The sequence below is a fragment of the Homo sapiens genome, chromosome 18 (genome assembly GCF_000001405.40).
Source record: "Homo sapiens chromosome 18, GRCh38.p14 Primary Assembly".
NCBI lineage: Eukaryota > Metazoa > Chordata > Mammalia > Primates > Hominidae > Homo > Homo sapiens.
The window spans coordinates 11,424,526-11,450,216 of record NC_000018.10 but is presented as its reverse complement, the minus strand read 5'-3'; the positions used below and the strand labels follow the sequence as shown (position 1 = coordinate 11,450,216).

Genomic DNA, 25,691 nt, shown 5'->3' with positions numbered 1-25,691 from the left:
CTTTATAGATTATGGATATTAGCCCTTTCTTGGATGAATAGTTTGTGAATATTTTCTCTCATTCTATAGGTTGTCTGTTTACTCTGTTGATAAGAGCAGTTTAATAAGGTTCCACTTGTCAATTTTTGTTTTTGTTGCAATTGCTTTTGAGGACTTACTCATAAATTTTTTGCTAAGGCTGATGTCCAGAATGGTATTTCCTAAAGTTTCTTCTAGGATTTTTAAAGTTTGAGGCCTTACCTTTAAGTCTTTAATCCATCTTGAGTTAATTTTTATATGTAGTGATAGGTAGGAGTCCATTTCATTCTTCTGCATATGGCTTGCCAGCTATCCAAGCATCATTTATTGAATACGGATTTCTGTCCCCATTGTTCTTTTTTGTTGACTTTATCAAAGATCAGATGGCTGTAGATGTGTGGCTTTGTTTCTGTGTTCTTTATTCCTTTCCATTTTTCTATGTACCTGTTTTTGTACCAGTACCATGCTATTTTGGTTACTGTAGCCTTACAGCACAGTTTAAAGTCTGGTAATATGATGCCTCCAGCTTTGCCCTTTTTGCTTAAGATTGCTTTGGCTACTCAGGCTCATTTTGGTTCCACATGAATTAGAGAATAATTTTTTCTAAAATTATGTTGATAGCTTGATAGGAATAGCATTGGATCTATAGATTGCCATAGGCAGTATGGTTACTTTAATGATATTGATTCTTCCAATCCATGAGATGGAATTCTTTTTGTGTTATCTAAGGTTTATTTCAGCAATATTTTGTAGTTCTCCTTGGAGAGATCTTTTACCATCTTGGTTAGAAGTATTCCTAGTTTTTCTGTGGCAAGTGTAAATAGGATTGCATTCTTGATTTGGCTCTTAGCTTGAATATTATTAATGTATAAAAATGCTATTGATTTTTGTACATTGATTTTGTATCCTGAAACTTTACTAAAGTTATTTGTCAGTTCCAGGAGCATTTTGGTGGAGTCTTTGGGGTTATCTAGGTATAAAATCATATTGTCAGTGAAGAGAGATCATTTCTTTTTTTCCTATTAGGATGCCTTTTATTTCTTTTTCTTGTCTGATTGCTCTGGCTAGGACTGCCAGTATTATATTGAGTAGGAGTGGTGGGAGTGGGCATTCTTGTCTTGTTCTAGTTCTTAAAAGGAATGCTTCCAGTTTTTGTCCATTCAGTATGATGTGGCTGTGGGTTTGTCATAGATGGCTCTTGTTATTTTGATGTGTATTTCTTAAACGTCTGGTTTCTGGAGATTTTTTTTTTTATCATGAAGGAATGTTGGATTTTATCAAAAGCTTTTTCTATGTATATTGAGATGATCCTATGTTTTTTGTTTTTAATTTTGTTTATGTGGTGAATCACATTTCTTGATTTGAATATGTTGAACTAGCCTTGCATCTCAGGAATGAAGCCTATTTTGTCATGGTGAATTAATATTTTGATGTGCTGCTGGATTTGGTTTGCTAGTATCTTGTTGACGATTTTTACATCTATGTTCATCAGGAATATTGGCCTGTAGTTTTCTTTTTTCGTTGTGTCTTTGCTGGGTTTTAGTATAAGGGTGATGTTGGCTTCATAGAATAAGTTAGGGAGGTGTCCTACTTCTCAGTTTTTTGGTATAGTTTCAGTAGGATTTGTGCCAGCTCTTCTTTGTACATCTGGTAGAATTTGACCATGAATCCATCTGACATGGGGCTTTTGTGGGGGCTAGTAGGCTTTATTACTGATTCAATTTTGAAACTCTCTATTGGTCTGTTTAGTGTTTCAATTTCTTACTGATTAAGCCTTGGGAAATTGTATGTTTCCAAGAATTTGTTCATTTCCTCCAGATTTTCTAGTGTGTTTGCATAGAGGTGTCCATGATAGTCTCTGAGGGTATTTTGTGCTTCTGTGAGATTAGGTCTAATGTCACATTTTCCATTTCTGATGATTCATTTCATTTCTGATTTTCTTTGTAAATATAGGGTGGTCTATCAATCGTGTTTACCATTTCAAAGAAACAACTTTTGGTTTTGTCAATCCTTTGTTTGCATTTTTAGGTATCAATTTTATTCAGTTCTGCTCTGATTTTAGTTATTTCTTTTCTTCTGCTAGCTGTGGAGTTACTTTGTTCTTGTTTTTTTAGTTACTCTAAGTGTGATGCTAGATTGATAGTTTGAAATCTTTTTAACTTTTTGAGGTAAGCCTTCAGCACGGTAAACTTTCCTCTTGTCTTTCAGGAGAAACTGCAACTGTAGCAGCATTCCTTCCCCCCAGGAATGTGACAAAGATGAGCACCATTCCAACACCTGTTGCTGAGGCACTTTCCAGGGGTCTAGCTGTGGAGGCCCCTACTCTTCTCTAGAGCAGGCACTTCAATCTTCAGGCCAAAACTAAAATGTCTGCATGACCACACTGCCAGGTTGCCCAAGATTGGCTGACTTTGTATGCATCCTGATTAAAAATGGCATCTTGCTCTCTGGTCTGGGAAAATGCTGTGGCTTTTCCCTGTGACTTTTCTTCACAGCGTCTCCAAACTTCTCCCCAAGTTAGTTCCAGGGCTTAGGAGAAAAAAAGTGCTCTCCCTCGGCCTGGGCTGCTCAGATCCCCAGTGGAAAGGTGAATCACAGAGGGAGCTTCTCTGCCTTTCTCACGCACTGGGAATTCACTCACTTTTATCTGCTGGATGCTTGTATGGGGGCTGTTGGGTTGCATTTTCCTTCCTGGAATCTGGGATGTCCTTCATGATTCTGGTGGAATCCTGTTTACCTTCTTGAATTAAAGCTCACAGAATTGATCTTCATGCTTTTCCAAATGGCTGAGGCATGGTAAAAACCTCTCTGATCCACCATCTTTGAAAATAAGACTGTTTAAAAAGAAATCCTTGCTTTTCTTTGTCTTAACAGATGATTGAAAATTTATTTAAAAATATAATGCCATAATTTTGAGTTTATAACAGGTACAAATATTTAAAAAATGACAAAATGGCAGGAGGATAGATAAATATCTGACAAGGTAGGTAAATAGAATTTTACTGTTGCAAGATTTTAAAATTTTATATTAAATAGTATACTGTGAGCTCTAAGGAGACTATGATAAGTTAGAGATGCATATTGTAATCTTTTAAGTACCACTAAAATAGTAAAAAATTCTATTTAAAATCAGAGGAAAGAACATAGAATAATTTAAAAATCATACCAAAATAATTCATGGTAGGAGTAACTAAAGAACAAAAAGAAATGAGAAAGCATAAAAATGTAAAATGGTAGTCTAGAGCCCAGTCATATTAATATTGACATTATGAACTCCTGAATAAATACTTCTATTAAAAGGTACATATTATGAGACTGGTTAAGAAAGCAAGGCCCGCCGGGCGCGGTGGCTCACGCCTGTAATCCCAGCACTTTGGGAGGCCGAGGTGGGCGGATCACGAGGTCAGGAGATCGAGACCATCCCGGCTAAAACGGTGAAACCCCGTCTCTACTAAAAATACAAAAAATTAGCCGGGCGTGGTGGCGGGCGCCTGTAGTCCCAGCTACTTGGGAGGCTGAGGCAGGAGAATGGCATGAACCCGGGAGGCGGAGCTTGCAGTGAGCCGAGATCCCGCCACTGCACTCCAGCCTGGGCGACAGAGCGAGACTCCGTCTCAAAAAAAAAAAAAAAAAAAAAGAAAGCAAGGTCCAACTTTATGTTACTTCTAAAGTAGTTTGATTTTACAGACAGGGAGAAAATTTAAAAATGGAAAAACATATATCCTGCAACTTGTAGATATAAGAAAAACAGTGGAAGTATATTAATATTATACAAAGTATATGTATATTTCAAACAGTATAAATATAAATGCCATACCAAGAGTATTTCAAACTAAGAATTATTACCAAGATAAAGAATAACATTTTATGATGATAAAAGGAAAAATACATAAAGAAGCTATAACAATCCTAAACATGTATATGCCTAATAATAAAGCTTAAAAATTCATGAGGCAAAAATAGACATACCTAAAGGGAGAAATATACAAATGCAAAACTATGGTGAGAGATTTTAACAATGCTTTCCTGGTAATTAAAATAACTATTAAACAAAATAACAATAACGGCATAAACTGATTTGACCTAATTGATAGTCATAGAACATTAGATCGAACAACTTCTTAATACACATTTGGTGCAAAAGAACACTCAACAAGACAGAACATGTGCTATGCCATAAAATAAATGTCAATACATTTCATAAAACTAAAATTTTATAAAGTATATTTTCTGACGACAATGCCTTTAAATTAAATATTACTATAGTAAGAGCTCTAGAATAAAATTCTTCAATATTTGTCATCTAAATCACACACTCCTGAACAATCCATGGTTTAATAGTGAAAGCATAGGCTGGGTGCGATGGCTCACGCCTGTAATCCCAGCACTTTGGGAGGCCAAGGTGGGCAAATCACAAGGTCAAAAGATCGAGAGCATCCTGACCAACATGGTGAAACCCCATCTGTAGTAAAAATACAAGAATTAGCTGGGCGTGGTGGCACATGCCTGTAGTCCCAGATTCTCAGGAGGCTGAGGCAGGAGAATCACTTGAACCCGGGAGGCAGAGGTTGCAGTGAGCCGAGATCGCGCCACTGCGCTCCAGCCTGGTGACAGAGCAAGACTCCGCCCCTCCTCCCCAAAAAAGTGAAAGCATAAATGGAATTATGACATATTTCACAATAAAAATGAAAATGCAATATATAAAAGTTTGTATGAATGCAATTGAAGCAGTACTTAGAGAGAAACTAAAACAGTTCTGGACCAAGCAGACCTAATAGACATCTACAGAACTCTCCACCACAAATGAACAAAATATACATTCTTCTCAGCACCATATCGAACTTATTCTAAAATTGGCCACATAATGGGAAGTAAAACACTCCTCAGCAAATGCAAAAGAATGGAAATCATAACAAACAGTCTCTCAGACCACAGTGCAATCAAATTAGAATTTAAGATTAAGAAACTCGCTCAAAACCACACAACGACATGGAAACTGAACAAACTGCTCCTGAATGACTACTCGGTAAACAGTTTTAAATGCTTATATTAAAAAAGAAAATTGTTGTAAAGTCAATGATCTAATTAATTTTCTTTCATAAGAAAGTTGATAAAGATTAACAAATCAAAGCCAAAGTAAGTAACAAGAAGAAAATAATAAAATAAGAATAAAAATGAATGAAAAATCTTAAAAATAGGTAGATGATACTTCTGGGGTTCATGGAAGGAGCTAAATTAAAACTGTTTGACAGGTATGTATCTCCAGCCAGTCAAAGAAAATTCCTATAAGTAACGTGTCACTGAAAATACTTATAAGCCAAAATAATAGAATAATTGAGAAAATAATCTACCATGAACAAATTTTAGCTGACAATGAATACTTCATATTTGAGGCTTTCATATCATGTCTATCAAATAAAGATGTTAAAAGTGGTTAAGAATAAAGAAAAACATGAGATAAATGAAAGCTCATGAAAAGTATGAAATACATTTAATAGAAACAGAACATCCATAAATGAAAAATGTAGTTTTTGAGATTAAAACTCAGTTGATACATACAGTTGAAAGGACAGTGGAGAATTACACTATGGAACAAAGAAGATTTACCAGAATAATGCAAAAGATTTCCAAACATTATAATTATATAACTGAGATAAAAAGACAAGGAAAATAGAATAAGAAGGTCCAGAATAAATCATATAGAAGTATGTTTATTGCGGCACTATTCACAATAGCAAAGACCTGGAACCAACCCAAACGTCCAACAATGATAGACTGGATTAAGAAAATGCGACACATATACACCATGGAATACTATGCAGCCATAAAAAAGGATGAGTTCATGTCCTTTGTAGGGACATGGATGAAGCTGGAAACCATCATTCTCAGCAAACCATCGCAAGAACAAAAAAACCAAACACCACATGTTCTCACTCATAGGTGGGAATTGAACAGCAAGAACACTTGGACACAGGAAGGGGAACATTACACACTGGGGCCTGTTGTGGGGAGAGGGAAGGGGGGAGGGAAAGCATTAGGAGATACACCTAATGTAAATGACCAGTTAATGGGTGCAGCCCACCAACATGGCACATGTATACATATGTAACAAACCTGCATGTTGTGCACATGTACCATAGAACTTAAAGTATAATAAAGAAAAGAAAAATAGTAAAAAAAAATAAATAAATAAAGTAAAAAAATTGTCTTGCATAGAGAGAGAGAAGGGTGGAAAGGCAATACTTAATAAAAAGTACAGTACTTTTCCAGAATCAAAGGTATGAATTCTTCCATACAGGAGCCTGAAACTTAAGCATGATTTTTAAAATTTCATCTAGGAATATAAAACTGAAGCGAGAATAGCAAAGATAAAGAAAAATCTTAAAAATGACTCAAAAGGAAGACAGATTCCTAAAAGGAAATAACAGACTGATAGAAGACTTTTTGAAAACGATAGAAATAGAAATCCAAGTTTTCAGAGAAAATAACTCCAAACTATAATTCTATATATCAAAATAATATTTTAAGACTAAGGATTAAATAAGGACATTTTCAGACAAAAAGTGGAAATAATTAACCAGTTGTAGACCTTCACTGAAAGAACTATTTAAAGGACTTAGTCCAGAAAAAGAAATTTAATAAAGAAGAAAAGACTCAGATGAAATAATAAATGATGATTGAAGAAGCTGTTACTCATGTGGGTACATTTAAATATGTATAGACTATATTTTTTGATAGGTTATTTGAAAAAAATTTTTGTAAGAACATACAAGAAACAATTTACTTTTGAGAAATAATTTTCCAATAAAAAATGGGAGAAAGACTTTTAATTTTCTTTGTTATGAGTCTACAAAAAAGTAAACAAATTTTGACATTAGAGAACTCATTTGGATTTATTTTCTTAGAAATTTGAATTTTCATCCTAGATAGACAAAAAACTCTTTTAGATGGAAGAATAAAAAATTAGTGACCTTGAAGGTAGGTAATAAAAATTATATAATTTGTAAAAACAATGTCAAAAATTGAAGAAAAATGAACAAACCTCAGAGATTTGTGGAACAATACAAAGAGCTCCAATATATATGAAACTGGAACTTTAGAGGGAGAGAAGAAAGAAAATGGAGGATAAAACACTTGACAATGCTGAAATTCCTAAACTTGTTGAACACCTTTAACTTAACAGATCCAAGAGATCAATCTTGAAGAAGGTGAATACAAAGAAACTAGACTACACATCATAATCAAATTTCCAAAAAAGTAAAAATGAAGAAAAAGTCATGAAAGCAGCCAAAAAATGACTTAGTGTATACAGATAAACAATGATAAGATTGGTGGACAACATTTCAACAGAAACAATGGAAGACAGGTGATGTTGGAATGTCACAAGAGACTGAAAGAAAAATAAAACTGTAACCAATAATTTTATATCCTTCAAAACTATCTTTCAAAATTGAAGTATTAAATTAAGCCGTTTTCAGATGAACAACAAAGAATTTCACTGCTAGCTGCCACTGCACTCCAGCCTGGCAACAGAGCAAGACTCCATCTGAAAAGAAAAAAAAATTTTTTTTTACTGCTAGCGGATTTGTACCTTAAAGTATACAAAGAAAGTCTTTCAGAATGAAGAAAAGTAACACCTGATAGTAACTCAATCCTGAACAAGGAAGTAAAAGCATTAGAAACGGCAAATATGTGAGTATATATGTGTGTATATATACATATTTCCCCTCAATTTGTATGAATTTCTATTGAAAAGTTTCAACATTTCATCAAAAGTAATTAAAAATTTAGCTTTAAGTAGGTTGTGATAAATTAAAGATGCATGTTTTAATTTCCAAAGCAACCTCTAAAAACAATTCAATGAAATGATATTAAAAGTGCCCACAACAAATACCCATGCTGACAGGATGTTTGACAGAAGCCCTTGATTGCCAACCAGTGATGACCACTCAATATTTTAAATTAGAAAACTGCTTGAGATGGCTGTCAGGTAAACTCTTTTTGAGAGACCACTATTAGCCTTTTATTGATCCCTGTTGGAAACTGTATCTATTACTAAATGACACAAATTATTTTGAAACCTGGAATACTCTGCATGTAATGGGTTATATAAGACAAATACTCCAATTGGGAGCTAACTGCACAAAGGGACTGCATCAAAAAGAAATGGTGTATTCAAGAATACGTCACAGGGGAATCCACTGAAGGAACCCATTGCAAGCACAAGCAAGTGGCAGCTATGTCTAGGAGCCCTACATCAATCTCCCTGATGACTTATTTAAATCCATATCTGAATGAGTATTTTTGGAGGATCCCCAAAAGTAGCACAGCTTACAGAATGTAGTTCAAATGTGGAGGGCCCACAGTCACCTCAAAGTTGGCTGCATTGTAACCTGCTTATGGCTAGACAATTATTGAAGGGAAAGATTCATTCACTCAGTGGACAGAATTCAGAGTGGTGTTCATAAATATATTAACAAAACTAAGTGATATTAACAAAAGTGAGGTATGGATTGATAATGACTCTTGGGCCACAGCCAGTAAATTGATGATATGATCTGGAATATGGGTCTTAGATGACTAGAAATTAAAAGAAATCATAGTAAGGGGTACAATGTTATGGAAAAGCATTTTAGGCTTCCTAAGCCAGCTTCCAACATGGCCCCAAATAATTCCTACCTCTTGGTATTTACAACCTTGTGTGGTTCCCTCCCTTGTCATATTAAGGATGGTCTATGTGACCAATAGAGATAACTTACTCCTTTGGTCTCCCTTGTGTCAGTCATTCCAGAAAAAGCCAGCTGAAGTGTGATAAGCGGCCTTATTTAAAGGCCAGCATGGTGAGAAAAAACAGCCATTCAAGTGACATGAAAAGCAGATCTACCAGCCACCACACTCAAGCCTTCAGATGACTGCAGCCCTAACAGACAGCTTGATCACCACTCCATGAAAGCTTCTAAGGCACAACCACCCAACTAAGTTGCTACTGAATTTCTTATCCTCAGAAATTATGTGAGATAATAAGTATTATTATCTTACATTGTTTGGGGGCATAATTTGTTCCACAGCAGTAGTTTAATACAGATATAAAAAGAAAAAATCAAAGTGTGTTATGTTGATACTCAACAGTAAAACTTTCTTTCACTTTTGGAAGGGCATTGGAGGCAATAAAACAATGTTCTAGTCCTCCCTGGAGGTGGCCTAGTATGTACACGAGGTTAGTGGTCATGGGGGCAGTCAAGCAATTTAAGAAAGGCAGATCCCCCTGACTACCTCTCAGGCTCAAAATGAGACTAACTTTTATTATTTTTTTCCTATAGGTTAACTATAGACTAAAGGATTTTATGTACTGAGAGGATACGGGTAGGCAGTGGACTACACTGGCCTTTGCCTGTGGCCCCAGAAGGATAGGGATGGGTTTTGAATGTGCTGAACACTATTTTAGAGTTGGATTTAGTAATGGGAGCAAATACTTTGAATATCATCAGATGATTAGAAAAATAAATTTTATTTCAATTTAGATCCTCTACTGATGTATCTTCATATCGAGGACCCTGTTTCACCGAGGATACAGTGCAATGATAGGCTAAAATGCCACATACAATAGATGTATGTATCATACCATCCACAGAGCAGTGGATTATTAGAAAACTAGCATGGACGATCAAAACACCTGCTTACTAAATTGGGGAAATGTGTTGAAATGAAGGATTAAAGGAATGGCTTGTATGAATAAATGAATATGTGTCACATCTTCCCATGTGTGACATGAAAGATCATCGGACCAGTTGAAAGATATATTGGAAATGAAAGAAGAGGGAAGGGAGAAGATATTGTCACTTATTTAATCATTTTTACTCCTCATTTTTTATGGATACATAATATTTCATTTATTTATGGGATACATGTCAGTATTTGCTACACACATAGAATGTGTATTGCTCAAGTCAGGGCACTTGGGGTATCCATCATCACCTTAAGCACTTAACCATTTCTTTGTGTTGTGGACAGTTCAAGTCTTCCAGCTACTTTGAAATATACAATGCATTGTTGCTAACTATATTTACCCTACTCTGCTATTGAACATTAGAACTTATTCTTCCTATCTAACTGTACATTTGTATCCATCAACAAATCTCTCTTCATCCCCACCTTCCACCCATACACCCTCCCTGGTTTCTGGTATCTATCATTCCACTCTCTACCTCTGTGAGATCAACTTTTTTAGCTCCCACATATGAGTGAAAACATGTGATGTGTGTTTTTTTGTGCCTTGTTATTTTACTTAACATAATGACCTCCAGTTACATCCATGTTGCTGCAAGTGACATGATTTCATTCCTTTTTGTGGCTGAGTGGTATTCCATTGTGTATATATTGTGAAAGGAAAATAAATCTTGGGGCTCCAAAATCACTAAGCTAAAGGGAAAAGTCAAGCTGGGAACTGCTTTAGGGCAAACCTGCCTCCCATTCTATTCAAAGTCATCCCTTTGCTCACTGGGATAAATGCCTATATGATTGCCTCCTTTGGAAAGGCTGATCAGAAACACAAAAGAATACAATTATTTGTCTTTGCCTACCTATGACCTGGAAGACACCTTCCCACTTTGAGTTGTTCCACTTTTCCAGACTAAGCCAATGTTCATCTTACACATATTGATTAATGTCTCACGTCTCCCTAAAATGAATGAAACCAAGCTGTGCTTGGACCACCTTGGGCACATGTCATTAGGACCTCCTGAGGCTGTGTCATGGGTGAGCATCCTTCACTTTGGCACAATACATTTCCTAAATTGAGAACTGCTTCAGATATTTGGGGTTCACAATATACACCACATTTTCTTTATCCATTCATCCTTTGATGGGCACTTATGTTGAGTCCATATCTTGCTACTGTGAATAGCGCTACAGTAAGCACGCAAGTGCAGGTATCTCTAATACACTGATTTCTTTTCCTTTGGATAAATACCCAGTAGTGGGATTGCTGGATCATATGATAGTTCTATTTTTAGTTTTTTCAGAAGTCCCTATCATATTTCCCATAGTGGCTACACTAATTTACATTATCACCAACAGTATATGTGTTCCCTTTTCTCTGCATCTATGCCAGCCTCTTTTATTTTTTGTCTTATCATAGCCATTCTAACAGGAGCGATATGATGATATCTCTTTGTAATTTTGATTTGCCTTTCCTGATGATTAATGATGTTGAGCATTTAAAAAAAAACCTGTTAGCCATTTGTGTATCTTCTTTTGAGAAATGTCTATTCATGTCTTTTGCCTACTGTTTAATGGGATTATTACTATTATTATTAATTATTTTACGTTGTTTGAGTTCTTGGTATATTCTAGATATGAGTTTCTTCTCATATGAACAGGTTGCAAATATTTTCTCCCATTCTACAGATTGTCTCTTCACTCTGTTGATTGTTGCCTTTGCTGTGTGGAAGGTTTTTATTTAATATGGTTTCATTTGCCTATTTTTGTTTTTGTTGTCTGTCCTTTTAAAATCTTAGCTATAAAATATTTGCCTAGACCAGTATATTGAAGTGTTTTCCCCTAGTAGTTTTATAGTTTCAGGTCTTATATTTAAGTCTTTAATTCATCTTGAGTTGATTTTTATGCATGGTCAGAGATAGAGGTTCAGCTTCATTCTTCTGCATATGGATATCAAATTTTCCTAGCACCATTTATTAAAGACAGTGTCCTTTCCCCAATCTGTGTTCTTGGCACCTATATTGAAAAGCAGTTGGCTATAAATACATGGATTTATTTCTGGATTCTCTGTTCCATTGGTCTATATGTCTATTTTTATACTAATGCCAAGCTGTTTTAGTTACTATAGCCTTCTACTATATTTTGAGGTCAGGTAATGTGATGCCTCCAGCTTTATTCTTTATTCTCAGGATTTCTTCAGCTATTCAGGCTGCATTTTGGTTCCATACAAATTTTAGGACTTTAAAAAAAATCTGTGAAAATGTCATTATTATTTTGATAGAGATTGTGTTGAATTTTTAGATTGCTTTGGGAAGTATGGACATTTTAATAATATTAATTATCATGATCCTTGAGCATGGGATGTCTTTCCATTTGTTTGTGTCCTCTTCAATTTCTTTCATCAGTATTTTGCAGTTTTCCTTATAGAGATTTTTCACTTCCTTGATTAAATTTATTCCTAGGTAATTTTTTATAGCTATTATAAATTGGGTTGCCTTCTTGATTTCTTTCTTATCTAGTTCATTATTGGTGTATAGAAAGGCTACTGATTTTATATGTTGATTTTGTATCCTGCAACTTTATTTAATTTATTTATCAGATTTAAGAGTTTCTTGATGGAACCTTTAGGTTTTTGTCGATATAAGATTCTATCATCAGCAAAGAGGGACAATTTGACTTCTTCTTTTCCAGTTTGAATGGCTTTTATTTCTTTCTCTTGCGTGACTGTTCTGGCTAGGACTGCAAGCACCATGTTGGATAAGAGTGGTAAGAGTGCGGATCCTTTTCTTGTTTCAGTTCTTAGAGAGATTGCTTTCAACTTTTACCCATTCACTACGATGTTAGCTGTGAGTCTGTCATATATGGCCTTTATTATGTTGAGATTCATTTCTTATATGCCTACTTTGTTGAGAGTTTTTATCATAAACAGATGTTGAATGTTGTCAAATGCTCCTGTGTCTATTGAGATGATTATATGCTTCTTGTCCTTCATTCTGTTGATGTGATGTATCACATATATTAATTTGTGTTACCTTGAGCCATCTTACATGCCTGGAATAAACCCCACTTGATTATCATGTATTATCTTTTTAATGTGCTCTTGGGTTTGGCTTGCTAGTTTTTTGTTGATGATTTTTGTGTCTACGTTCATCAGAGTTACTGGCCTGTCATATTTTTTTTGCATCCTTGTCTGTTTTTGGTATGTGAGTAATTCCATCCTTGCAGAATGAGTTATGGAAAGTCCCCTTCCCTTTAACTTTTTGGAATAGTTTGAGGACACTTGGTATTTGTTCTTTGAAAGTTTGGTAGAATTTGGCAATGATGCAATCTGGTCCTGCACTTTTCTTTCTCAGGAAAGTTTTTATTACTGTTTCTATTACATTATTTGTTATTGGTTTCTTCAGGTTCTCTATTTTTTCGTGATTCAATCTTGGTAGATTGTATGTACTGCAAAATTTATTCATTTTCTCCAGGTTTTTCAGTTTGTTACTGTATAGTTGTTCATAATAGTTTCTGATGATCTTTTATATTTCTGTGACATCAGTTGTAATGTCTCCTTTTTCATTTCTGATTTTTCTGTTTTAGCCTACTCTCAGTTTTTATTGGTTAGTCTACCAAGTGGTTTATCCATTTTTAAAAATCTTTTCAAAAACGAACTTCTCACTTTGTTGATCCTTTGTACTTTTAAAGTATCTATTTCACTTACTTCTGCTCTCAATTTTATTATTGCTTTTTTTCCTGCTAATTTTGAGTTTGGTTTGTTCTTGCTTTTCTAGTTCCTTGTGGTGCATCATTAAGCTGTTTATTTGAAAACTTTCCACTTTTTTAATGTAGGCTCTTATTGCTCTAACATTCTCTCTTTGCGCTGATTTTGTTGTATTCCAAAGGTTTCATATGTTGTATTTTGATTTTCATTTATTTTTAGACTTTTTATTCTCTCTTTAATTCCTTTCTTGACCCAATGTTCATTCAGGAGTATGTTCTTTAATTTCCATGTATTTGTACAGTTTCCATAGTTCCTCTTGTTACTAACTGCTAGTTTTATTCCCTTGTTGTCTGAGAAGATACTTGATATGACTTTGATTCTTTTAAATTTGTTGAGACTTTGTTTTGTTTTGTGTCTTAACATAAGGTCTATCTTGAAGAATGTTCCAGGTACTGAGGAGAGAAGTGTGTATTCTGTAGCTGTTCAATAAAATTTTTGCAAATGTCCATAAGGTCCATTTAGTTCTAATGTACAGTTTAAATTCAATATTTATTTGTTGATTTTTCTCTCTAGATGATGTCTAATGTTGAGAGTGAGGTGTTGAAGTGGGGACTATTATTGTATTGAAGTCTACCTCTTCCTTTAAGTTTAAAAGTATTTACTTTAAAAGTATGAGTGCTCCACAGTTGTACGTATATATGTTTAGAATAATAATGATAATAACTTCTTTGCCTCCTTCTACTATTTTTTACTTTAAGTATGTTTTATCTGATGTAATTGTAGCTATTCCTGCTCACTTTTGGTTTCCAATTGCATGAAATATCTTTTCCCACTTTTTCACTTTTGGTCTGTATGTGACTTTACAGGTGAGATGAGTTTCTTGTAGGCAGCATGTAGTTGGTTCACTTTTTAATCCAGACAGTCTATATCTTTTAAGTGGAAAGTTTAATCCATTTACATTCAAGGCTATTATTGATATGTGGGGACTTATTCCTGTCATTTTGTTAATTGATTTCTGGTTCTTTTCTTTTCTTTCTTTTCTTTCCTCTTTCTATTTCTTGTTGTTTATCATTGACTTAATTTTTGCATATGGTGATAGGTAGAGGTCCATTTCATTCTTCTGCTTATAGATAACCAGTTATTCCAACATCATTTATTGAATAGAAAGTCCTTTTCCAATTGCTTATTTTTGTAAACTTTGTTGAAGATGAGATAGTTGTGAATGTGTGGCTTTATTGCTGGATTCTCTATTCTGTTCTATTGGTCTATATGCCTGTTTTTGTACCAATACCATGCTGTTTTGATAACTATGGCCTTGTAGTAAAGTTCGGTAATGTGATGCATGTGGCTTTGTTCTTTTTGCTTAGCATTGCTTTGGCTATTTAGCCTGTTTTTTGCTTTCATATGAATTTTAGAATAGTGTTTTTAGTTCAGTGAAAAAATGATTTGGTAGTTTGATGGAAATACTGGTAGATAGCAATCCATAGATTGCTTTGGGCAGTATGGGCATTTTAGCAATATTGATTCTTCCAATCCATGAGCATAGAATGTTTTTCCATGTTTGTGTTTGTGTCATTGATGATTTATTTTAGCAGTATTTTATAGCTCTCCTTGTAGAGATTGTTAACCTTTGTTTGATGCATTCCTAGATATTTCATTTTTTGTTGCTATTGTAAATGGGACTGCATTCTTGATTTGACTCTCAGCTTGAACACTGTTGATGTATAGACATGCTATTGAGTTTTGTATGTTGAATTTTGTATCCTGAAGCTTTATTTAAGTAATCTGTTAGTTCTAGAAGCACTTTGATGGAGTCTTTAGGGTTTTCCAAGTATCGAATTCTATTGTCAGTGAATAGAGGTAATTTCACACCTTATTTTCTTATTTGGATGCCTTTTTTTTTTCTTTTTCTTTCCTGGTTGCTCTGGATATGACTTACAGTACTTTGTTGAATAAGAGTGGTGAAAATGGGCATTCTCATCTTGTATCAGTTCTCAAGAGGAATGCTTTCTGTTTTTCTCATTCACTATGTTCTTGACTGTGAGTTTGTTATAGATAGCTCTTATTATTTTTGAGATATGGTCCTTTCATGTGTAGTTCCTTGAGGGTTTTTATCATGAAGAGATGTTGGATTTTATCAAAAGCTTTTTCTGTGTCTCTTGAGATGATCGTATGATTTTTGTTTTTAATTCTGTTTACGTGGTGAATCACATTTATTGCCTCAAGTGAGTTGAACCAATCCTGCATCTCAGGAATGAAACCTACTTGATCATGGTGAATTGTTGTGCTGTTGGATTTGGTTTGCTAGAATTTTCTTGAGGATTTTTTTATCTATGTTCATCAGGGATATTGGCCTACGGTTTTCTTTTTTTTATTGTGTGTTTGGCAGGCTTTGGTATGAGGGTGACGTTGGCTTCATAGAATGAATTAGAGAGGTGTTCCTACTCAATTTTTTTGGAGTAGTTTCAGTAGAATTGGTACCAGCTCTTTTTTGTACGAGTGGCAGAATCCTTTTGGTCCAGATTTTTATTTATTGGTTGGTATATTTTTGATTACAGATTCAATTTTGGAACTCTCTATTCGTCTGTTCAGGGTTTCATTTCTTCCAGATTCAATCTTGGGGGGTTGTGTATTTCCATGAATTTATTCATTTCCTTTAGATTTTCTGATTTGTGTGCTTAGAGGTGTTCATAATAGCCACTTAGGATCTTTTGTATTTCTTTGGGTTTGGTTGTAATGTCATCTTTTTCATTTCTGATTGTGCTCATTTGGATCTTCTCTCTTGTCTTTGCAAGTCTAGCTAGCCATTTATCTATCTTGTTTGTCCTTTCAAAAAACACACTTTTGATTTTGTTTATCTTTTGTATGGAATTTTGGGTCTCAATTTCATTCAGCTCTGCTCTGATTTTAGTTATTTATTTTCTTCTACTTGACTTGGGGTTAATTTGCTCTTGTTTTTTAAATTCCTCTAGGTATGATGTTAGATCGTTAATTTGAGATCTTTCTAACTTTTTGAGGTAGGCGTTTAGTGATGTAAACTTTCCTCTTTAACTACTTTTGCTGCATCCCAGATATTTTGGTATGTTGTGTCTCTGTTTTCATTTGTTTCAAATAATTTTTTACTTCTGCCTTCATTTCATTGTTTATCCAAAAGTTATTCATGAACAAGTTGTTTAATTTCCATATGATTGTGTGGTTTTGAGAGTTCTTATTGGTATTGATTTCTATTTTTATGCCACCCCAGGTATGAGATTATGGTGGGTATGATTTTGACTTTTTAAAATTTATTGAGACTTGCTTCATGGCCAAGCATGTGGTTGATCTTAGAGTATGTTCTATGTGCAGCTGAGAGGCATCTCTCTATATATATATATAAAATATATATATAAAATATATAAATATGATTATATGTTGTGTTTGATATTCTATAGATGCGTATTAGGCCCAGTTGCTCATGTGTCTAATTTAATTCCAGATTTGTTAGTTTTCTGCCTAAACGATCTGTTTAAAATCGTCACTGGGGTGCTGAAGTCTCCCACTATTACTGTGTGGCTTTCTTTGTCTTTTCATAGGTCTAGAAATACTTGTTTAATGAATGTGAGTGCTCCAATATTGGGTGCATATATATTTAGGGTAGTTAAGTGTTCTCATTGAATTGAACTCTTTGTGCCTTTTTTTGTACCTATTTATTGTTGTTGGTTTCATTTGTGTTTTATTTGATATAGGAATTGTAATCCCTGCTCTTTTTTGTTACCCATCTGCATAATAGATTTTTCTCCAGCTCTTAACTTTTGAGCCTATAGGTATCGTTATATGTGGAATGGGTCTCTAGAAGACAGCAGACAGTTGTGTGTTTTCTTGGTCCAACTTGCCACCCTGCACCTTTTAAGTAGGAGCATTTAGACTATTTTCATTTAAGGTTAATATTGGTGAGAGGTGACAACATGCTAGCAGCCCTCGCTGGCTCTCAGCGCTTCCTTGGCCTCGCGGCGTCTGCTTTGGCGGAGTTTGAGGAGTCCTTCAGCCTGCCGCTGCCTGTGGGACCCCTCTGGGACTGGACGAGGCCGGAGCCGGCTCCCTCTGCTTGCAGGCAGGTGCGGAGGGAGAGGCGCCGGAGAGAACCATGACTGCGCACAGCGTTTCCGAGCCAGCACGAGTTCTGGATGGGCGCGGGCTTGGTGGACCCCGCACTCGGAGAGGCCGGCTGGCGCTGCCCAGCCCGGACAATGAGGGGCTTAGCACCCGGGCCAGCAGCTGCAAAGGGTGCGTCGGATCCACCAACGCTGCTGGCCGGTCTGCACCACGCTTGCCACACTCGAATTCTCGCCGGGCCTCAACCACCTCCCCGTGGGACACGGCTGGGGACCTGCAGCCCACCATGCCCGAGCCACCCTCCCTGCGGTGGGCTCCCCTGCAGCCCAAGCCTTCCCAACAGGCGCCGCCCCCTGCTCCGAGGGCGCCAGGTGCCATCCATTGCCCAAGGACTGAAGAGTGCAGGTGCAGGACTGTCACGCAGGATTCACTAGGTGAAGCCAGGTAGGCTTCTGAGTGAGGTGGGGACTTGGAGAACATTTATGTCTCGCTAAAGGATTGTAAATGCACCAATCAGCACTCTGGGTCTAGCTCAAGGTTTGTAAATGCACCAATCGGCACCCTGTCAAAACGGACCAATCAGCTCTCTGTAAAATGGGCCAATCAGCTCTCTGTAAAATGGACCAATCAGCAGGATGTGGGTGGTGTCAGATGAGGGAATAAAAGCAGGCTGCCCCAGCTGTGTGTCGCAACCGGCTGCGGTGGGTTTGTGTGGTGTGGACGGTTAGTTCTTTTTGTTCTTCCCAATAATATTTGCTGCTGTTCATTGATTGGGTCCTGGCTGCCTTTATGAGCTGTAACACTCACTGTGAAGGTCTGCAGCTTCACTCCTGAAGCCCACGAGACCAGGAACCCACCAGAAGGAAAAAATTCGGGATATATCTGAACATCAGAGGGAGCAAACTCCGGACCCACCATCTTTAAGAACTGTAACACTCACTGTGAGGGTCTGCAGCGTGTTCTTGAAGTCCGGGAGACCAAGAACCCACCAATTCCGGACACAGTGGTAGGTGATGTTTTGATGATACTGTGAGATTGTTAATTGATTCCTTTGAGTTTCCACTGTATGGTTGCTTTATAGGGTCTGTGGGCTATGTTCTTAGGGTGTTTTTATGGTGGCAGATACTGTTCTTTCATGTCCATGTGAGAACTCTTCTAAGGATCTCTTGTAAGGCTGGTCTAAGTAGCAAATTCCCTCAGTTACTGTCTGTCTGGAAAAAGTTTTATTTCTCCTTTGCTTGTGAAGCTTCATTTGGTGGGATATGAAATTCTTGTTGGAAATTTCTTTTCCTTGAGAATGGTAAAAATAGGTCCCCCTATCTCTTTTGCCTTGTAAAGTTTGACCAGGTTATTTCAAAAGATCTGTCTTCAAGTTCTTCGTTTCTTTCTTCTGCTTCATCTATACTATTGATGAAGCTTTAAAATGTGTTTTGTATTTCATTTGAATGCACTCTTCAGTTCCAGAATTTGTTTTTTTATTCTTTTAAAAAATTTTTCATTCATATCTTGAATTTCTTTTTCCGATTCTTTCGTATTATTTTTAAGTATTCTCAAAAAAATGGGCAAAGGGCAGGGACATTCACTAGTCAAAAGAAGACATACATGTAGCGAACAATCATAAGAAAAAAAGCTCAACATCACTGATCATTAGATAAATACAAATCAAAGCCACAGTGAGAGACCATCTAACACCAACCAGAATGGCTGTTATTAAAAAGTCAAAAAGTAACAGATGCTGCCAAGGTTGTGGAGAAAAAGGAACATTTATACACTAGGAGCGAGTGTAGATTATTTCAGCCATTGTGGAAAACTGTGTGAAGTTATTAGTGGAGATTGTGGTGAAGTTTTGCTGAGGACTGAAACGCCATGTGAGCCAGCCATTTGGGCCATTGTTGTAGCAGTGAGCTGAGCATGCTTGTGCTGGGCCAGTGTACACAGTGTGGTGTGCACTGGCATTAGTGCGTCCAGATGGGTCAATTTTTGAGCCTACAAGTGGCTTACTTAGGTGCCAGGAGGAGTAGTGGTGGTTGAGGTGGGTGGGTTCTTGGACCACTGGGCAAAAGGTGTGGTGGGGCAGTGGCAGTAGCAACCATCTGGGTCTAGAGAAGTACATGCTAGTATTGCCGGTAGCTCCAATGGGCTAAGGTAGGGCAGTCTCCAGGCCAATAGGTGGCATGTGCATGTGATACTATCTGTAGTAGTGGTGACAGGGTGAGTTGGCCCCCGGGCCCCGGGGAGTAGTGCCTAGGTGCCAATGGTGTTGGACTGGGATGGGCGATACCAAGGACCCTGTACTGCATGCTTTACATGAGTAGGGGTTGAAACTGGGCTAGGTGGAATTATCCTCTTGCCTCCCCGCCTCCCCCTCACCCCCCGCGATGGGGCATACTGGTGCTGGCTGTGTGAGGCAGGGTGGGATTATCCCCAGGTCTCTGAAGAAATGCTTGGGTTAGGGGCAGCAACAGTTGCATAATGTCCCTACTACCTGTGAGGGTGGGGTTGGTTTCAGTGGTAGCCATATGCAGGCTGAGTAGGAACAGGTGCTTTGCTTGTGATTTAGTCCCAGTGGCATCAGCCCACACTTGGCTTGTATTTCTGCCCTGGCGGCAGCAGCCTGCACATCACTCGTGCTTCAGCCCTGGCAGCACAGTGATGGCAGCTGCAGGCAGGGGGACTTTGTCCAGACATGTGAAAATACATGGTGTTTCCACTTCTCAAATCTACAAGATTGTGTCTGGTGGCACATGATGCTTCAGCCCAAGTAGTAGCAGCAAACTGCAGTGTTAGTTGTAGGCAGGGGAAATCAGTGGGCCTCCAGGGATGTGGAGATGCAGGGGCTGTTGAGCCCTATGGCAGGGTACAGTTTATCATGGACCAGGCTCTCAATGACACTGTACTGTAGCTGCTTAGGGTTTGGGGGTGTGAAACCCAGTGTTACCTCTCTCTCTGGAGCAATGTCATTGTATAGTCTTCAGGAACCTCACTCTGTTAGTTTCATGGCCCACGAGGGCTGAGGAACTTTAGCATGGCTAGGATTGCAGGAGTACCCGATGGGAATGTGGACCACTGAGTATCTCTTTTCCCTTTTCCGCTTTGGGGAGTCTCTCCAGGCTCCCAGCCAATCCTGGTCGAGTAGACTCCGGATCCCTCTCCTTCATTTAGGTGTTTCCTGTCACTTCTCTCTTTGAATTCTAGTGTTCTCTCTTGGATTGTCTATTCGAAGTTTGATTACCTACTCAATATTTAAGTTCTTCTTTGTGGACGAGGTGCGAGATGTCTCTATGTAGCCATCTTGAAGCCCCCCCTAAAAAATTTTCTGTTTCTTCACTTGACCTCATAAAATGGGTCCCAGATTGCTTCTAGAATTTCTATTGCTAAACAAGACAAAATGGCAATGCCTTTGAATATAATTGGCTAAGTTCCAAAGGGCATAATCATTGTCAACTTTTCCTTTCTCATTTAAACATCTTTAGGCTCCTATCTGCTTAGCAGATGAGATAATCCTATATGCTTATATTTATCCAATCTTTCCCGGAGTCATTGGGAATGAATGAAAAGGAAAGTATAGGTTTGATTTATATTGCTACTAGCTTTATGGGCTAATCCTTTTGTTGTGCCTAATAGTTGTATATTGAGGAGGGGCATAGGTAAATTTAATAAGTGGAAATAAAGCAAATGATTACTGAGGGAAAGGAAATTAATATGTGCATAATGGAATATTGCTTTAGTGTCCATGAGACTAGTTCAGGATTAGAAAATAGTATTACCTCTTAGTTATATTACATACGTCACCTTCAAATAAAGCCAGATTATCAGACAGGACAAAGAGCAACCATATCCAACTTTATGCTATTTATAATAAATGTAGTGTGAATAATACAAAGAGGCAAATAGGTTGAAAGTAAAAATACTGAAAAAAGATATGAAAACGGTAAGTATAACAAAGAAAAATTATATTATTAAAAATAGATGGTAAGGAGTTTTGCTACAGAGATTTTTATAATGATATTTAATTTAGCAGGAAGAGGTAACACTTAAAAATATATGTGTGTGTTATAATGGAGTCCAAAATATATTAAACAAAACTGTCAAAACTAAAGGAAGAAATGGAAAAAGGACCAATTATAGTGGGAAATTTCACTACTCCTTTCTAATTGATGAAAGTAGACAATCAATAAACATAGAGACTTGAATAACACTACCAAACAACGTGATCTAAATAACACAGCTAGAATCCTCCACCCAGCAACAAAAAAACACATGTTCTTTTCCAGTGCACATGAATATTCATCAAGATAAACTATATACCGAGGCTGGGTGTGGTGGCTCACGCCTGTAATCCCAGCACTTTGGGAGGCTGGGGTGGGTGGGTAATGAGATTCAGAGATCGAGACCATCCTGGCTAACATGGTGAAACTCTGTCTCTGCTAAAAATACAAAAAATTTACTGGCCAAAGAAGAAATCAAAAGGGAAACTAGAAAATATTTTGAATTCAATAACAAAGTACAGCATATCAAAAGTTGTGAGATGTAGCTAAAATAGTATTAGAGAGTTCATTTATTGCTTTAAGGAATATTGCTATAAGGAAGAAAAGCATAAAATATCTAAATTTCCATCTAAGAAGGTAAATAAAACATATTAAACCGAAGGAAATTCCAATATCAGGAGTAAAAGAGTGGACATCCTTCCAGTTTCTATAGATAGTAAAAGAAAAGAAAATATCATGACAACTTAAATGAAATAGTCATATTTTTAAAGAAACCACATTTACCAAAACTGACTTAAGAAACAGACAACTGAACTGTCCCGTATCAATGAAAGAAATTGAATTCATAATTTAAAATATTCACAAATAGAAATGTCCAGACTCAGCTGGCTTCATTGGTTAATTCTATCAAATATTTTAGGAGGAAAAAGAAAATACTAAAGCCATAAAAGCAGTTGCATAAAATTGAGGCAAAATAACCCTTCTCAACTCACCTTACAAGGCCAGTATTACTCTCACACCAAAGCCAAAGAATTAAAAGAATAGAAAGAAATGTCCCGCATGAACATAAACGCAAAAATCCTTAACATATTTTCAAAGAAAATGATACAATATACAAAACAAGTTACAAACAACTGGGTTTTATCTCAGGAATGCAAGATTATTTAATAGCTGACAAATCCATATATTTCATATTAACATTGACAAATCATAATATTACATATTAACAATCAGGGAGAATAAGTAGGATTTTTCTCAATTGGGGTAAAAAAAGCATTTCGTGTAATTTGACTCAAAACAGCAAAAACTCTTAGCAGCCTAGAAATAAAAGATAACTTTCTCAACCTGATAAGAGACAGATATGAAAAATCTACAACCAACATCACACTTAATGGTAAAAGACTGAATACATTGTACTTGAGATTAGGGACAAGCCAGAATGCCCTTTCAACATTGCACTGGGATTTCTGTAAGGTCAGAAAACAAAGCAAAGAGAATACAGATCAGAAATGAGCAAAATTAACTTTTTTTGTAGTTAACATGTTAATGTAGGCAGAAAATCCAAAGAAATCTACAGAAATAAAGCTAAAGAAAAGAAGTGACTTTAGCGAGGTTTTTACAAAAAATAAGGTTGAGATTAAAAATGCCATTGCCTTTTTCTTTTTCCTTTTTTTTTTGAGACCGACTCTCCTTCTGTCGCCCAGGCTGGAGTGCAGTGGCACAATCTCTGCTCACTGCAAGCTCCGCCTCCCGAGTTTATGCTATTCTCCTGCCTCAGCCTCCGGAGTAGCTGGGACTACAGGCGGCCGGCCACCACACCCAGCTAATTTTTTTTTTTTTATTTTTAGTAGAGACGGGGTATCTCTGTGTTAGCCAGGATGGTCTTGATCTCCTGACCTCGTGATCCGCCGGCCTCGGCCTCCCAAAGTGCTGGGATTACAGGCGTGAGCCACCGGGCCCAGCCAAAAAAAAATGCCATTGCCTTTCTATATATCAGTTAGGAAAACACCTATTGGATGTTGAAATGAGGAACAACTCAGTTTTCAAAGCAAGTCTGTTTACAAAAGCACAAATAAAATTCCTTTGAATAAACTTAAGAAAAGACGAGTGAAAAGTATACATCTTATTCACTGAAAACTACAAAATTTTGTTGAGAGAAGTTAAAGACCTAAATAAATGGAGAAATATATCATTTTATGTATTGTAAGACATGGTAGCTAAGGTAGTAATTTTCCCCGGGTGCAGCAAGTTTTTGTAGCAATTGTCAAGGGATGGGCACCAACATTTATATGGAATCAAAGGACCTAGAAAAACCAAAAATATTTTAAAAAGAAAAAGTTGGAAATTATATACTTTTTGATTTCAAGGCTTATTATAAAGCTACAGCAACCAAGACATTGTGGTATCGGCTAAAGGATTTTCTGCCTACATGAACATGTTACAATATTAGAAAATAGAGTTGGAAATAGACCCACACATATATGTTCAATTGATTTTTGACAAGGGCTCCGAGGTAATTCAATGGTGAAAGCAGATTCTTTTCAAAGACTTGGTCTGAAGCTGTTGAATATGTGAATGATTTTAAAAAAAAGGGGGACAAAAGCAAAACTTACTTAGACTCCATCTCACATAATTCACAACTCTTAACTCAAAGTGTATCATAGACTACATATAAGAGGCATGAAGTTTTCAGAAGGAAACACAAGACAATTCTCGTGACCTTGAGTAGACAATTTCTTAAATTGAGCCCCCAGCTCCTGCCAAATGAACCATGAAATAAATAGATGAATTAGACTTTACTGAAATTTAAAATTTTTTCTTTAAGAAAATGAAAAGGCAACTCTCAGAGTACTTACCCAACACATATCTGAAGAATGACTATTATCAAGAACATATATTTAAAAAAACAAAGTCACAACTCAAAAAAGACACATGCTTTTAAAAAATATTAGAGGATTTCAAGAGACATTTCACAAAAGAAGTTATGTAAATGACCAATAATGTGAGAAGTTGGTCAGTATTACTAGTTTTCAGGAAAATGAATATTAGAACCACTAGGTACTCCCTAGAATAGCTAGAACTTAAAACACAAAACGTACAATCCCAAGTGTGAGAAAGAATGTGAAGCAACCGTAACTCATACATTGCTTGTGGGAAAATGGTGGCGCCACTTTGGAAAGCAGTTTTTGCAGTTCATTTTATAGTTAAATGCATACTTACCTTGTGATTCAGCAATTCTGATTCTAGGCTTTTACGCATGAGAATGTGTACATTCATACTAAGACTTGGATGTATTCACACCAGCATAATTTATTATAATCAAAACTGGAAATGACCCAAATGGCTGTCAACTGGAGAATGGGTAGATAAAATACAGTAAAGTCGTAACATGGAGAAACACTCAGCTGTAAAAACAAATGAGCTACTGATGGCACGCAACATGAGAAGTCTGAGAAGCGTCACACTAAGCAGCATATACTGTGTGATTCCATTGATAGAAAACTGTGGAAAAGGCAAAACTGTAGTGACCTAAAAGTTCATCAGAGCTTGCGTAAAACAAGTGGCAGTGGAGATGGCGGGGAGGGACGACAGTGACAGGAAATGAGGAACATGTCTGGGTGGAGGAAATGGTCAGTATCTGGAGTGTGGTTGGGCTCTATGATGATGTGCATTAGCCAAAAATCATCAAAATAGACACTTAAATTATTAGGCCCCAGTAAACTAATTTAAATATGGGAGGCAAAAAAAGTTTACAATAATACAAATACTAAACATTAAAACTTGTGAGTTGTAACTATAGTGACATTTCCAGAATTTTGTATAGATTTAAATGGTTATACTATTAATAAAAAAGAATACTCGTGGATTATTGGCTCATATCATGATTTACAATCAAGCAACATGAGGAATGGGCAGATTAGCTCTTACAGGAAAGGGCTGTAATCAGCCGAAGTCACACTTCTGAATATTCAGCTCAGTGGTATGGTGGCGTTGGGCCATTTTCTTCTCTTGAAGCTTCTGTTCTCTGAAGCTGGTACTATGGAGAATTCTCAGAACAGCTTCATTACTTTTGATGAGTTATTCTATGGGGCTAACTGGGTCTAAGGATTCAGTTGACTGTTATGGCTGCTGGAGGAGGAATGGGGCATACAACTGGAACGCTCTGGAGA

General features: G+C 36.7%; 2 long non-coding RNA genes across 6 annotated transcripts in view, besides 1 other annotated feature; both read left to right on the top strand.

Moving 5' to 3' along the window:
• The window catches only part of LOC107985173 (uncharacterized), a 122,834-nt gene that overhangs the window by 39,722 nt on the left and 57,421 nt on the right, over positions 1-25,691 (top strand). For 4 of the 5 annotated variants that reach the window (XR_007066290.1, XR_007066291.1, XR_001753357.3 and 1 more), the window contains one exon: positions 2,227-2,466. The exons of the other annotated variant lie outside the window; for it this stretch is intronic. This is a non-coding gene — a long non-coding RNA (uncharacterized LOC107985173). Of the gene's footprint in view, positions 1-2,226; positions 2,467-25,691 lie in introns of those variants that run through there. 5 annotated transcript variants of the gene reach the window in all.
• Positions 18,222-25,691, top strand: part of LOC124904250 (uncharacterized) — a 55,834-nt gene continuing 48,364 nt past the window's right edge. Inside the window, exon 1 of the long non-coding RNA XR_007066292.1 lies at positions 18,222-18,539. This is a non-coding gene — a long non-coding RNA (uncharacterized LOC124904250). The remainder of the gene's footprint in view (positions 18,540-25,691) is intronic.
• Positions 23,210-23,445: a silencer, noted in NCBI's record as "fragment chr18:11426771-11427006 (GRCh37/hg19 assembly coordinates)". NCBI's record gives its function as "represses an EF-1alpha promoter that drives an FKBP-Casp9 reporter gene in an ReSE screen in K562 erythroleukemia cells {active_cell/tissue: K562}" and the evidence as "EXISTENCE:reporter gene assay evidence [ECO:0000049][PMID:32094911]".